The sequence below is a fragment of the Homo sapiens genome, chromosome 8 (assembly GCF_000001405.40).
Source record: "Homo sapiens chromosome 8, GRCh38.p14 Primary Assembly".
NCBI lineage: Eukaryota > Metazoa > Chordata > Mammalia > Primates > Hominidae > Homo > Homo sapiens.
The window spans coordinates 74,259,575-74,272,945 of NC_000008.11; the positions used below are offsets into that span (position 1 = coordinate 74,259,575).

At 40.0% G+C, this 13,371-nt stretch overlaps 1 protein-coding gene across 5 annotated transcripts in view; it reads right to left on the reverse strand.

The window, feature by feature from the left end:
* Positions 1-13,371, reverse strand: part of JPH1 (junctophilin 1) — an 86,841-nt gene that overhangs the window by 24,875 nt on the left and 48,595 nt on the right. The window lies entirely within an intron of this gene.

Sequence of the window (13,371 nt, forward strand, 5' to 3'; positions counted from 1 at the left end):
AATCTGGGAAAAGAAATGTTAATTATGATTATGGCCCGACACCCACAAGAGCAAAAATTTTAGAGTCCTATTGCCGTGAAATTTCAATGAAGATGACATAGATGAAACTAAACTACCCATGAATTGCCTTAGCCCTTCTCTCAAGGGAAATGAAAAGTAAGAGCAAGGTCTGTGTAGCTTGATGCTAAGTGTGGTTTTCAAAACTTACTGGATCAAATCTCCTGTTGACTTTGGTTGGCATTCCTCCCCCCCACCTAAAATTATGGAAAGTAGAATTAGAACATATAAATTAATAGTGTTTATCAAATTCATTTCTACGGTACAATCAATGTAAGAATTTGACTAAGAAAGATCTGCCCACTGGCATGCTGGTGAAGTAGCTCTTTGAAGAAAAAAATTAGTGAAATGGGGATTGGTAGTGTTTATTCATATCCATGTGTAAATGTTCTCACCGTGGCCAATTTCAGGCTACCAGCATAATGCCGTTGGATGTGCAGTGGGGAGATGTGCACTATTGGTGCTCACCAGCAGGAGCAAACCACAAGGCCCGCTCTAAGAACATGCTCAGAAGGGTTCCTGAGGAGCCCATTTAGCTGACTTTTAGGCATGTTTCTTGTATGAACCAAAAAGGAGACAGCGAGGCAGAACTGGCAAGGATGAAATGGATCTTTCAGTCTTCCATCGCCTCCCTGGCCTGTCCTCACTCATGGAAACCTCTCATCTTTCTGGAGGACTAGGGTTATGCGGAAAGTGGCAGGAAAAAGAATAGGGCTTCTTATGGCTGCACCAGGGAATGATGTCTACTGGCCCCAGAGAGGGTTGGAGGGAAGAAAAAAACTCTGGTTTATCTGCTCTGCAAAGGGAAAGGCCTTGTCCCGTTAGTCTTTAGATGTTTATGGGTACCTATTTCTTATGACTTTGTAAATTTTCTATTATATTTTATTAGCACTAGGCAGGGCTATAAATAACTAGCAGTGAAAACTTAATGGAAGTCTGAAAAAGGTGCTTACACTTATGTTGGAGACAGCAGGAGAGAGGAGGAGTTGGGAAAAGGCATGGGCTTTGGATGCTCTTCAGGGAGAACACACGGGCAGCAGCTGGAGGAGGCTGGCAGGCGGAGCTCCTGGGACCAAAACACGGAGGCACCGGGCCTGGCCTGAGACAAGGGGGTCTACTGGTAGGAGGCCCCCTTTTCACATTACTCTCTTCAATAACCTCCTCTTGTCCTGTGCTCTCACGGGACTCCTTTCACTTCTATTTAGGATCTAAGCAAGCCTGAAGGCTTGATGTATTAGAATGTAAGCTTTGTGAAGATTGGAATTTTTAATTTTTGGTCCTCTGTCATAATCCCAAAGTGCAGAACGCTACATTGGCACATACTATTTATTGAGGGACCACTTTATGAATAAAGGAATGAATGATGCTTCCTTAGGAAAAGCTGGGTAGTTCTTAAAACTGAATGGAATGACAAAACCATAGAGACAGTAAAAAGATTCAGAGTTGCTAAGAGTTCGGGGTGTAGTAGGGAAGAATGAATTGGTGGAAAGGAGGGCATATCTGGGGGAGTTTAATTATTCTGCATGATACTGTAGTGGGGGACATTACATATTTGTCAAAATCTATAGACTGTACAACACAAACAGTGAATGAAGCCTGATGTAAACTATGGACTTTAATACTAATATATTAATACCGGTTCATCAATTACACCAAACGCACCTCAAAATGCAAGATGTTAATAATAGGGGATATTGTGTGTGTGCATGAGGAGAGGAGGTGTATGGGAACTTTGCAGTTCCTGTTCAATTTTTCTGATAACTTAAAACTGCTCTAAAAAATAAAGTCATTAAAAATGAGTGGATCAACTTCGAATCATCAAAACTGCTATTTCTAAACCATGGAGGATGCTTTAGATTATTTGTGTATGGGGTATCAAGAAATATGAAATGGAAATAACATCAAGAGGGGAGGGACATATTCTTAAACAACTGGCTGTTGGAATAACCCCTCATGGGTGCCATTGCTGAGGTACGATGGGTAATGCCTTAGTCCTGTGTGTTGTGCCTGATAATCAACAGATGCCCTCCGCTAATGTTCTTTCAGTTTCTCAGAATCTAAACTTTTTTCCCCCAAATGATTTTCCATTTTGTCCGCTATTCTTAGCCAGAGCCTAATTATGTCTAGGTGTCATAATTAATGAAGCCATAAGAGTATAGCTATGCTGCTTTATAATACTATCTATTAGCCCTTTAATGATAAATTTACAAAACTCAAGTACAAGTAACTTATTCGGATTCAATCACGACACACCACCATACAGTCAAATAAAACAGCAGTAGTATATCTACCACTTTTTATAATATGCTAAACTAGAGAATAGACAAATACAGCTTAACCTTTCTGCAAATATATTTTGGAAGCACAGCATCAGTGAAGCCTGCTAGTACTTAACCCTTTACTTTTTTACTTGCTGTTTCCTATAAGACCACACAGCAAAGGAGGACCTTTCTATCCAGCCCAGCTCTGTGGCTCAGTGCTACTGTATAGCTGGCCAGATGAGTCAAGACCACATTCAAACCTGAATCCTGAAGTCTGCTCAAGAGCTTTTGGAACCGATGACAAGAAGGAAGAACAGAAACCCACTCTGAGTTTGCTGTTAACACCAGCCTGTACAGCTAAGGCCACTGGCATGTCTAGATTTTGCCCAGGAATAATCTGGACTTGTCTCTGGCTCATGTTAGTGAATTCATGTGATCACATCCCAGGCTCAGTTCCAGAGTGACACACGACCCCTGTAATCAGTCAATTGCGATTGTTCTTGCGTTGGGGGGTGGGATTCAGGTTAGGCAGTCTGGAGAGATAAGCTGAAACCACTCAAACTGGATGCCCTGATGCTATTGCTGGTCACAGGCAAAAAATGCATACACCAAAGGGGAATACGTGCCCCAAAAGCATTTCATTTATCAAAAGACTGTGACATTTTACAAATCTTCAGACCCTCAAGAATCTCCAAATACCATTATCACAAATACTTTCTCCCATCAAATGCAGTAAAAAGTAACTGAAAAGCGACTTCTTTAAATTAAGCATCAGCTGTTGACTTTCTTTTAGGGCTATATATTTTTAACAAATAAACCGAATTTTTAACTTGTGAAGAGTTGCACCTTATGGGTGAAGACACCACAGCCATGCTGGCTGGGGAGACCTGGGGAGCTGGTTATGCTCACTGAGCAGCTATGGAACTCCCTCCTGGACATAAGCTCTGCGGAGGTCAACTGTGACCAGCTGCAACAATAAATGGGGAATTTCTGAATGCTAGGCATCACCTGTACTTAAAAACTTAATGACAAATTATTTTCCTAACCAGCAATTTGATGAGTATCTGAGGTTTTCTTTTCTTTAATAACTGAAATAGTGTTTTATGAGCTCTCTAGTTGGCTTAGGAGAAAATAATCTAGTTTCTTTTTCTTAAACATATAAGGCTTTAACAAAAAGCATACTCAATCATACATGGAACATGCTGAGCATACTCTCCTCCTGCTAAGGTACACGTGGGTCCCTGAGACATCTCCAAGCTCCTTTCAATCTCTTATACATCTGTGAACTCACATAGCTGATAAAGATTTTCATCTAGAATGGAGAACAAGTCTGCTAAAGGTGAAGCGCTATTTCTACTTTTTATATAGTCTTTTCTCAACAATAAACTGCTTCAAAATTGTGCTGATTTTGATGTTTTTAAAAATCTGTGACATATTAAGTGTAAGTTAGTTTACTGATCTGACTCTTAAAACTTGACAGCAGAGGCGATAACCTAATTGATTCAGGGACCGTCCTTGTGATTTGCTTTGACGTACAAGTATTTCAAGAAAATTATTAGAAAAATTTAAAAATAAAAGCAATTGGCACATAAAAACCCAAGTCTTGGTTGATGGCAACACCATTCTTGCAGTTGCTCAAGCCAAAACCTTTGAGTCATCCTTGACAACTCCCGTTCTCTCACACACCATATCCACTGTCAGCAAATCCAGCTGGCACCACCTTCGGAGTATATTCCCCCTACCCAGCCATTTCACATGCTCTGGTTCACTGTCACCTCACCAGAGTTAGTACAAAGGTAACTGACCTCCCTACTTCGATCCTCCTCTCTGCCATTTTATTTCCTTCCACATTGTCTTGAAAGTGCTTAATAACCAAAAACACATTCCTGGGTTATGGCACCATAGGTAAGAAAATGCAAAAAATAGGAGCTGTGAGCCTTCTTTTGGACTGTGACATTATTCATTCATGAGAGACCTAAATTTGAGAAAACCAATTATCCTGTGTAGACAGTTGCAGCCCGTAAGAAGAAATCAGTCTGTTAAGCAAGGAATACTCTTGATAGGGATAAGAACCAACTGGCTCCACAGGTGTCAGTTTAAAATCAGAGGTGTGATTTCTGAGTTACCTGCACCTAGTAAGAAATGAGTCTTTCAATCTTGATTTGGTTCTCTGATAAGACAGACTCCTCTGCAAGGCTCAGCACAGGTACACATAGGGCCCTGAGATGTCTGTCCCAACTTCTAACTTGCAATCTTTTATACATCTACTAACTGACGAAGCTGATAAAGACTTTGGTCTAGAATAGACAATAATTCTGCTAAAGCTCCATTCTCAGTAAACTTGATTTGGGAAGATGACTTATGTGAACCCATCTTCACCATCTATTCATTACTGAATGTTAATTTTCTCCATAAATTCCTTTTTTTTAAAGAGATAGGACGTGGAATAATAACTTTAAGACAGAATTCTTATGTCCTGGTTTAAAACAAGTTATATCACCAGTGAATAAGTTGTCCTCTTTGCCAAGGCAGGAGTTCCTGTCTTCCTTTTCTCTAAAAGCAATATCAAGTTATTTAGATATAAAATGTAAACTATTATGTTATTTAGTTATTTCTAAATAATATAAAATGTAAACTATTATGCCCCGTGTTACACTAAGGGACATAATATCCCTAACGAAGTCTGGTATTTGATATTTCAAGGGCCTAAACTTTTGCAGAGGTGTTATGATATAGGCTTTGAAAGTATTAATAGCCACAGAGTAGGTGAGGCCACTCTGAGCCACAAGTGATTTTTGTCAATGAGATAAAAAGTTAAACCACATTACTTCATTATACAAATGCATCCACAGATTCGTAGGGAGAGGAGAGGAGCCAAGATTCACACGAAGAATGTTCACATGCCTTTTGTAAAAGGCTATCCATTATGGGGAATCATTGTCATGTTTCTAAAGATCTAGGTGATACACTCCTTCTTACAGTCTGGTGCCAGGAAAAATGTGTTCTCTGATCTTAACTCCTGTGCTTCCTTGTATCATACAACATGAACTACGGGATCGATTGTTTCTCTTTTTGTTAAGGCTACCTAGAAACTTGGAGTAAAACTATCCTCAATGTATGCACACGGTAATCCTTTCTAATCACATGACTCTATTTTTATACCCCCAAAATCAGGAATTCTATCATGTATGTAACTCATTATAGTGTCCTGCAAATACTTTTTGGAAAGCAGAATAAATAAATGAAACAAAACATTCCTGGATTAATAAGCTCTTGTAATACTAAGTTTTCTGAACTCTAGCCCCCTGCAGTGTGTTCATGCTCAGGGGACATATGTAATAATTTGGGAATAGCGGTGTCTACTATTCAGCCTCCTTTTGTAAGATTTCTTTTTGTCCATCACCAGAACATTTTTTAAGCTTGGAAAATAAGTACTTATTTTTAATTAAGTACTTTATAGACTTTATTCCTTAACATTTGATCAAAAACTTAATAAGCTTAAAGGCTATATTCTCCAGATAGGACAGATCAAAGGCACATTTCTAATCCTTGATTGGAATATGCCAAATAATTGGTTATTCTACTTCATTGTGCTTTATAAAACTTATCTAAGACTTACCTTCTCATGTTATTTATGGGTTGAGAAAAATCTGATGTAGAAATATTTAAGGGATGTTTTCTTCTTGGAATAATTTTTGGAGAAAGGTCCTTTATAATGAGGGTCATTCAAAAGTTCAAAAACATTACCATTAAATAAAATGAAAACTTCTCTTTAAAACGTAATCACTGCAACCCACCGAATGGGAGAAAATGTTTGCAAATCATGTATCTGATAAGGGGTTAGTATCTAGAATACATAAAGAACTCCCACACTTCAACAACAACAAAACAACCTGATTGAAAAATGGGCAAAGGACTTGAATAAACATTTCTGCAAAGAGACACAAATGTCCAATAAGCACTTAAAAAGACATTCAGCATCATTAAGCATAAAGTAATGCATATCAAAACCACAATGAGATACTATTTCACACCCATAAGGATGGCTACTATTAAAAAAAAAAAAACAGAGAATAACAAGCGTTAGCAAGGATGTGGAGAAACCGAAGGCCCTGTCCACTGCCAGAGGGAATGGAAAATGGTGCAGCTACTGTTAAAACAGTATGGTGGTTCCTAAAAACATTAAAAATAGAATTACCACATAATCCACCAATCCTACTTTTCAGTATATACTAAAAAAAAAACTGAAAGCAGGGTCTCAAAGTGATATTTATACACCCATGTTCATAGCACCATTATTTATAATAGTCCAAAGGCGGAAGCAATCCTAATGTCAATGAATGAATAAACAAAATGTGTTCTATGCATTCTAGATACTCTTTATCAGAGAGATGATCTGCAAATCATCTCTCTGATAAATGGGAGAGATGATCTCCCATTCAGTGCTATGCAGTGATTATATACATACTGGAATATTATTCAGACTTAAAAAGGAAATTCTGATACATGCCCCAACATGGATGAATCTTGAAGACATTAAGTTAAGTGAAATAAGCCAGTCACAAAAAGACAAATATTACACGCGGTACCTAGAGTAGTCAAATTCAGAGACAGAAAGTAGAACAGTAATTTCCAGGGGGTTGGAGGAGGGGAGAATAAAGCATTATTGTTTAATGGGTACAGATTGTTAGTTTTGCAAGATGAAAATGTTCTGAAGATTGGTTGCACAGCAATGTGGGTCTACTACTATTGAAATGTATATACTTAAATGGTCAAGATGGTAAATTTTATGTTATACATATTTTACAAACCTAAAAATAAAAGAAAGTCACCTAATGTACTACTATTTACAGAGCATCTTATATGTCCAGAGGAAGTGAGGAGAGAAAAAACAAAGGCTGGGCTCTCCGTTGAGAAGTAGCTGCATGCAACCCAGCCCTGGCATGCTAAGAATCTAATAGAGGAAACAGCTGTAATGTATAGCAATAACTGATGGGCATTTTAAGGAAAGAGGTGTCAGAACTTTGTAAAATGCAGGCAGACTTATGTGTGTTTCTCTAGCTTTTAACATAAAGCCTGGCATGGAGGCTGTCTTCAACAAATATTAGCGGATGAATAAATAGGTAAAAAAGAGAGAAACATAAAAGATAACCCCAAGATTTCTAACTTGGTATACAAATAAATGACCTCACTATGGTCTGAGAGTGATGACAAGTTCTGTTTTAGACAAGTAGGATTTTACATGACATAGGCATCTGTAGTTGGAGATACAGGGCTGCTATGCAAATTAAAGGTCAAGGTTCTAAACGGAACTGTGAGCGTCATGTCACAGAAGATGAGTTCAACGAAAGGTGGTTGAACTCACCAAATAAGTGAGTCAAAAAAGCAAAGAACTGGGGACTGAGACAAAAGTGTCCTTGGGTGAAGGAAACAAGAAGGTAAATGGAACAGCAGTAACATACAGGTGGAAGGGGAACTTCTAATAGAGCTGTTCACAGTTCTTGTTCTTGCATAAATCCTGGGCTTCTTTTAGGAGGTAAGTGGGCCAGATCTGAATTTGCCTTATCTCTGGGGCAGCTGCATGTTTCTCAGCCTGACTGGCTGATTCATGTGCAGTCACTGAAATGAGTCAGTCCTGGAGAAGGTGAGGGCTAGGGAAAGCTTGCTGAATTTGATAAGAACCTTTCAGAGAGCAGTTCTCACAAGGAGGCCACCCCAGAAGCCGGACTGAAGGGAGTTGGCGAGGAAGTGGGCAGAAGAAGCCGAGGAAGCAGGTGTGGGCCACATGCTGGAGACTTTTGACCCAGAAAGGAAGCAGGAAATCTGGATAGTAACCAGAAGGATTAGCTGGGTCAAGGAAAAAGACGTTTTACTTGTATTTTAAGAAAATGAGAGCTGATCCTGTCGGAAGGTGGGAAGGATGCCCACAGAACAGGAGAAAATGAAGCAGCTCTGAAAAGGTGACAATTGCTGGAGTTAAGTGCTGGATGAGCGAAAGAAAGGAAACAGGAAAGAATATAAGAACAGTGAAAGGGGTGATCCAGTGGTTTTAAGGATCCTAAAACTTGAAGGAGCCTAAGCTCAAAAAAGACCTAAAGTGTTGTGGGCTTTGGAACCAGGCAGACCCAGGTGCACACCCCACTTTATCACATGTTGGCTAAATCACCTTAGTCTCAATTTCCTCACCTGTAAAATAGGGAGAATACTACTTCATAGAGTTGTTCTGGGATGAGGACGGATTTATATGAAGTACTTAGTACTAACATAGAGAGGTACTTAACAGATAAATGCCCACTATTAGTCTTCTGTTGAAATAAATAGTTGGCAGGGGAAATCTGGGGCTTAAAGTAAAGAGGTAAAGATTTGGAGTCAGCACTGTACAGAAGTTCTAACGAATGGAAGAAAGGCACATAAGAATCTATATGATTCTGCATTGTTCTCCAGCAGGGCTGTCTCTTCTGGGAGAAAAGAAGGGAAAAGGTGGCTTTGATGCAGGGTTGGAAACATGGAGCAAGGAGGATGGGGAGGATGGTGTAACCCATGACAGAGTTCTGGGTAGGAAGGAAGTATATAGAGCCAATGGGGGCCTTTGGACCAGAGGAAATAGACAGCGTGAAGTTAGGAACAAGTGAAAAATCAGGCAGGCCAAATTATTTAAAAATGGATGCATATTCTATAAAGTGATACTAGATATAGTCCTGACTCCATGTTCTTTTTAGCACTGGAGCAAACATCTGAAAGTGCTTGATAAGAACTTCAGAACCTGAGAAGACCTTCTGGGTAACAATGAGAATTACCAATGTCAATGCTGTTTTTGTTCACATATCAGTGTTGTTATGCTTCTTGTCCTTTACCAATGGTCCACTATGGGTACAAATTTAAGCATGACTAGGAATTAGAGTAATTCAAGACTGTATAATGGGCAAAATACATGACGAGAGCTAGGGCTATTCAGCTGAATGACACACTAACCAAGTGATAGGATCATAAACTGATCTCATCTCCACTTAGCAGCTGCAAATGCCCATTAAATGCACACTGTGGTGCTCAAATGATTCCATTTTATAAATACTTATAAATACATTTTTAAAAATTAAGCAAACACCATTCACTCCTTAAAAGTGACATGCACCCTCTAGAACTCCTCCTTGAACTCACAGTTGAAAAACATTCTCTAAGGTAAAAAGATATCTGTTTTATATTATCTAAAATGGTTCTCTAGAAATCTCAAATCCACCAGTCTGCTACCTCACTTTGTTCTGTCTAGATATGCCCAACTAGCGAAGAACAAAAAGATCTGTTCCTCTATCAGGCTTCTGATGCCGAACAGTATGAACATGAACTTGCTTGGGACTGTGCCCAAAACCATTGCGCATCTTAAGGTCTATCCTTTCCAAGGTACACATTTTGAAGTTACAGAATTTATGAGAGAACTGTTTTGTAAGGAATGTTAAAACATTAGGGGTATAGTTATTCTCTCAGTGAACTTGTTTTATTCACTTCATGTTTCCTTGTAGGAACTGCTGCTCTGTCACTCTGTTTATTTCACATTTGTTTGGTGACAAGGAATCATTCATTCTACAGTTCAACTAAGAAGCCCATACATATTTTTACTTTAAATCTTCAGTTTCTTGCTGCAACAGATATTGAGGACAAAAATGTAACAAGCACAAGGGTATTTGCTTTGATTTATATTAAACTTCTGGTTTTGCTCTTGAAACTTCTGCTTTAACACACTTATTATAAAACACTGTTTGAACTGAAAGGGGCTCTGAGAGTCCACATGATCCCTCCTGGTGACCAGGTAATTACTTTTCCTTCTATAGAGACCTGAGACTCAGAGAGATTAAGGAACATATTCAAAGTCACACAGCAAAGTCATATGGCTATCCAGAGAAATGAATGGGCAGAGCCCAGGTCTCCTAACCTTTAGGATGAAGACTGGTGACTATGTTGTGAAAAGAAGTTTCTTTATCACCATCTTCTAGATTTGTTTTAGCAAACATTTTATTATCATCTAGCTATACATTTTTCTTTCTACTATAGGAATTCATTTATATCTAGAGTTCATCTTCTTGTATTCATGCTTTCTCTGTGAATCTGTCACTGCTCTCCTTACTTCTCTATTCAATCTTTTATTTTAATACATTTATGCTTCCTATTGAAAAATGCACATTTTGAGCTTTCTTCTCCCAATGTATTTTTTTTTAACGAGTTTCGGCTGACCTTCAAATGAAAGAACACAGTTTAGGAAACATCTTACTAAAGACTGTAGGACAGATTTGGTTTTCATCAAGGTTAGGCTTTAGCAGGAACATTTTTAGGTGGTGTTAAAAATACTACAGATTCATCCAACTCATAGTTGCCTTCCCCAAATCACCAAATTAGTAATTAACGCCTCCAAGTTTAAAAGGAAATATCAGAACATCATCTAGTTCTTCCTGAATTCTTAAGAAGTTTTCTTATTTTTCCTCATGGGAGTCTCAAATTTGTTGAGTTTACCTATTTTTAGCATTTGCTGTGTTACACCAAAAACAAATTTTTCATCCCAATACTCAACAGATAAAATGATAGCTTATCTGAGGACACTGAGAAAATGGAAGCAGAAACAAATATGTAAACCAGGGTGACTCGTTTCTGTTTAGTACCCTTAAAGAAAAGTAACACTTTGGTGCAATTTGGGGAGCAAAGTCAGTTTTGAAGATGAATGCATGTACATCAAGATAAAAATATTTAATTTTCCTTCATTAAAAATGGTGGTAGAAAAGCAAGTCAGGATTCAAGCCAACTAAGTACAAGAATCATGTTAAACCTTGGCTCAAATAACAGGAATCTTTTCCTCTGGTCCTCATAGATTGTTAGTGGACTGCTTCAAAGCTTACATACTTACCAAGCTTATAGGACTTGGGATATTCCTGACCAGCAGCCTGCTGTCTGCCTGGGTATCTCCTCTAGACACACTTTGATGAGCTTTTAACCTTTATTATCTCTGTGGTGGGATTGATTCTGGGCCCTGGGATGCCACGGCTGTTGGTGGGATGGATGGACTCCTGCTGCAGCCACTGAGGAATGCAGGGTCTGCCCTCCTGGACTCCATTCCTTAGTGACAGATGCAATAACTTGAATGGAACTACTCCTCACCAATCCGAGGTTCAGACTGAGTCCAAAGAATCTCAAGAATTACTCTAGGCACAACGGGAATGTTGCACATCCCCCAAACAAGGGGGAGATTTAGGACGTCATTTCCACGAGGCAGGAATTTCTAGAGGCCCAAGAATTCAGAATCTATGGACTGCCATCTTCTAACTGTGGGGAAGTCGACTGAATTGGTAGGGGTAGGGAAAGCTACCCACCAACACCCCAGGCCCACCCTCCCCCTTGTTGCAAGTTGTCTAGTATTAGTTTTGGGGTCCAGGGCCTTGCCTGCTGCTTCGCCGCTATCTGACAGCTACTTTAGTGGGGTCTCCAGGATTGCGCTAGACATCAGGCTGTACTTGCCAAGTTAGACTTGTTCAATGTGCTAAGTCTTGGCCAGCGATAGGAGTACTGGAAATAGTTCTTCCTGCCTTTTCAATACAATCATACTTGTCTTCTGACATGACAACAGATTTGGTGACAAAAGGATGTGCCCTCGCCTTACTGGCTGACTCTGCCCTACCTGAAGCACAAATGTGAAAAATCCCCTTCCATTTAAGGCAGAGAACCCTGTAGCCATGAGGCTCTCTAGGATCCTGGTGGAAACTTGTAAAATGTATTTAAAATTTTGGACCTAAATGTTGCTGCAACAGACACAATGGGAGATGAGACTTCACAGGCAATGCTTTGTTATGGCATGAAGAAAACAGGGGCACAGAAAGCCCTTTTATAGTTTCATATGGAGTCTTGTGGGCTGACCAGTAACCCTGAAAACATGAGGGCTGTCAGGGCAAGGAGGGGCCTGTGGGGTCCATCATGTTGTTTGGAAGAATCACATCCTGCAGGGGCTCCCACTGCCCTGGCAGACAGGGCTTCTTCCAAGAGCTGGAAAACGGCATTTGTTCCACAGAATAAGAAGGAGAGTTAAGAAGCCTCTTCCCATCCAAGACAAAGGGGCAGGCAACTGCACAGAAACTCGAGGGGCGGTTACTCACTGCTTGCAGCTATGCCATCAGGAGCTTTTACTAACGTTACGCATGTCCTGCTGTCCTTGTCTTCCTAGTAACACTTCTCCAGGTTTCAGATAACTTTTGAATGTGTGTTCCCTAAAATAATCAACCCTGGCTGTCTCCCCTGAAATTTTTTCATTGCTGTCCAAATCCTCATTTCCTGATCAACTAGATTTTCTACCTCCAACAAAACCTCAACATACTTAATGATCTACACGTCTAGAAATGCTTTTACATTATTTGCTACTCTGGGCACACAGGTAATTCTGCCTAGTTCTAAATATCATGTTCACTCTTCTTTCCCTACTTATTACATACATTGCATACATCATTCTGCTCCAACCCCTCTGTAATGCTAGGGGTGAAAAGAAAACTTCTTCTCCCTTAAATCTCTCACTGGCAAAAGATCACTGCTGGCAACAGTAAATTATAAATATGAAGTTTCTCTGTAACGCTTTTCCGAGACGTCATAGTAACAACGGCTCAAAGCATGATCTTGTATGGCAGAGTGAAATGAAAAGGTTCTGATTTGATCAGAGATGCCTCTGTTGGACCCTTAGTTCTTTTTTTTTTTTTTTTTTTTTGAGACGGAGTTTCGCTCTGTCGCCCAGGCTGGAGTGCAGTGGCGCGATCTCGACTCACTGCAAGCTCCGCCTCCCGGGTTCACGCCATTCTCCTGCCTCAGCCTCCCGTGTAGCTGGGACTACAGGCGCGCGCCACCATGCCCGGCTAATTTTTTTTTATTTTTAGTAGAGACGGGGTTTCACCGTGTTAGCCAGGATGGTCTCGATCTCCTGACCTCGTGATCCGCCCGTCTCGGCCTCCCAAAGTGCTGGGATTACAGGCGTGAGCCACCGCGCCCGGCCGGACCCTTAGTTCTGAGATACTACAAATATACCTTCTTGCAA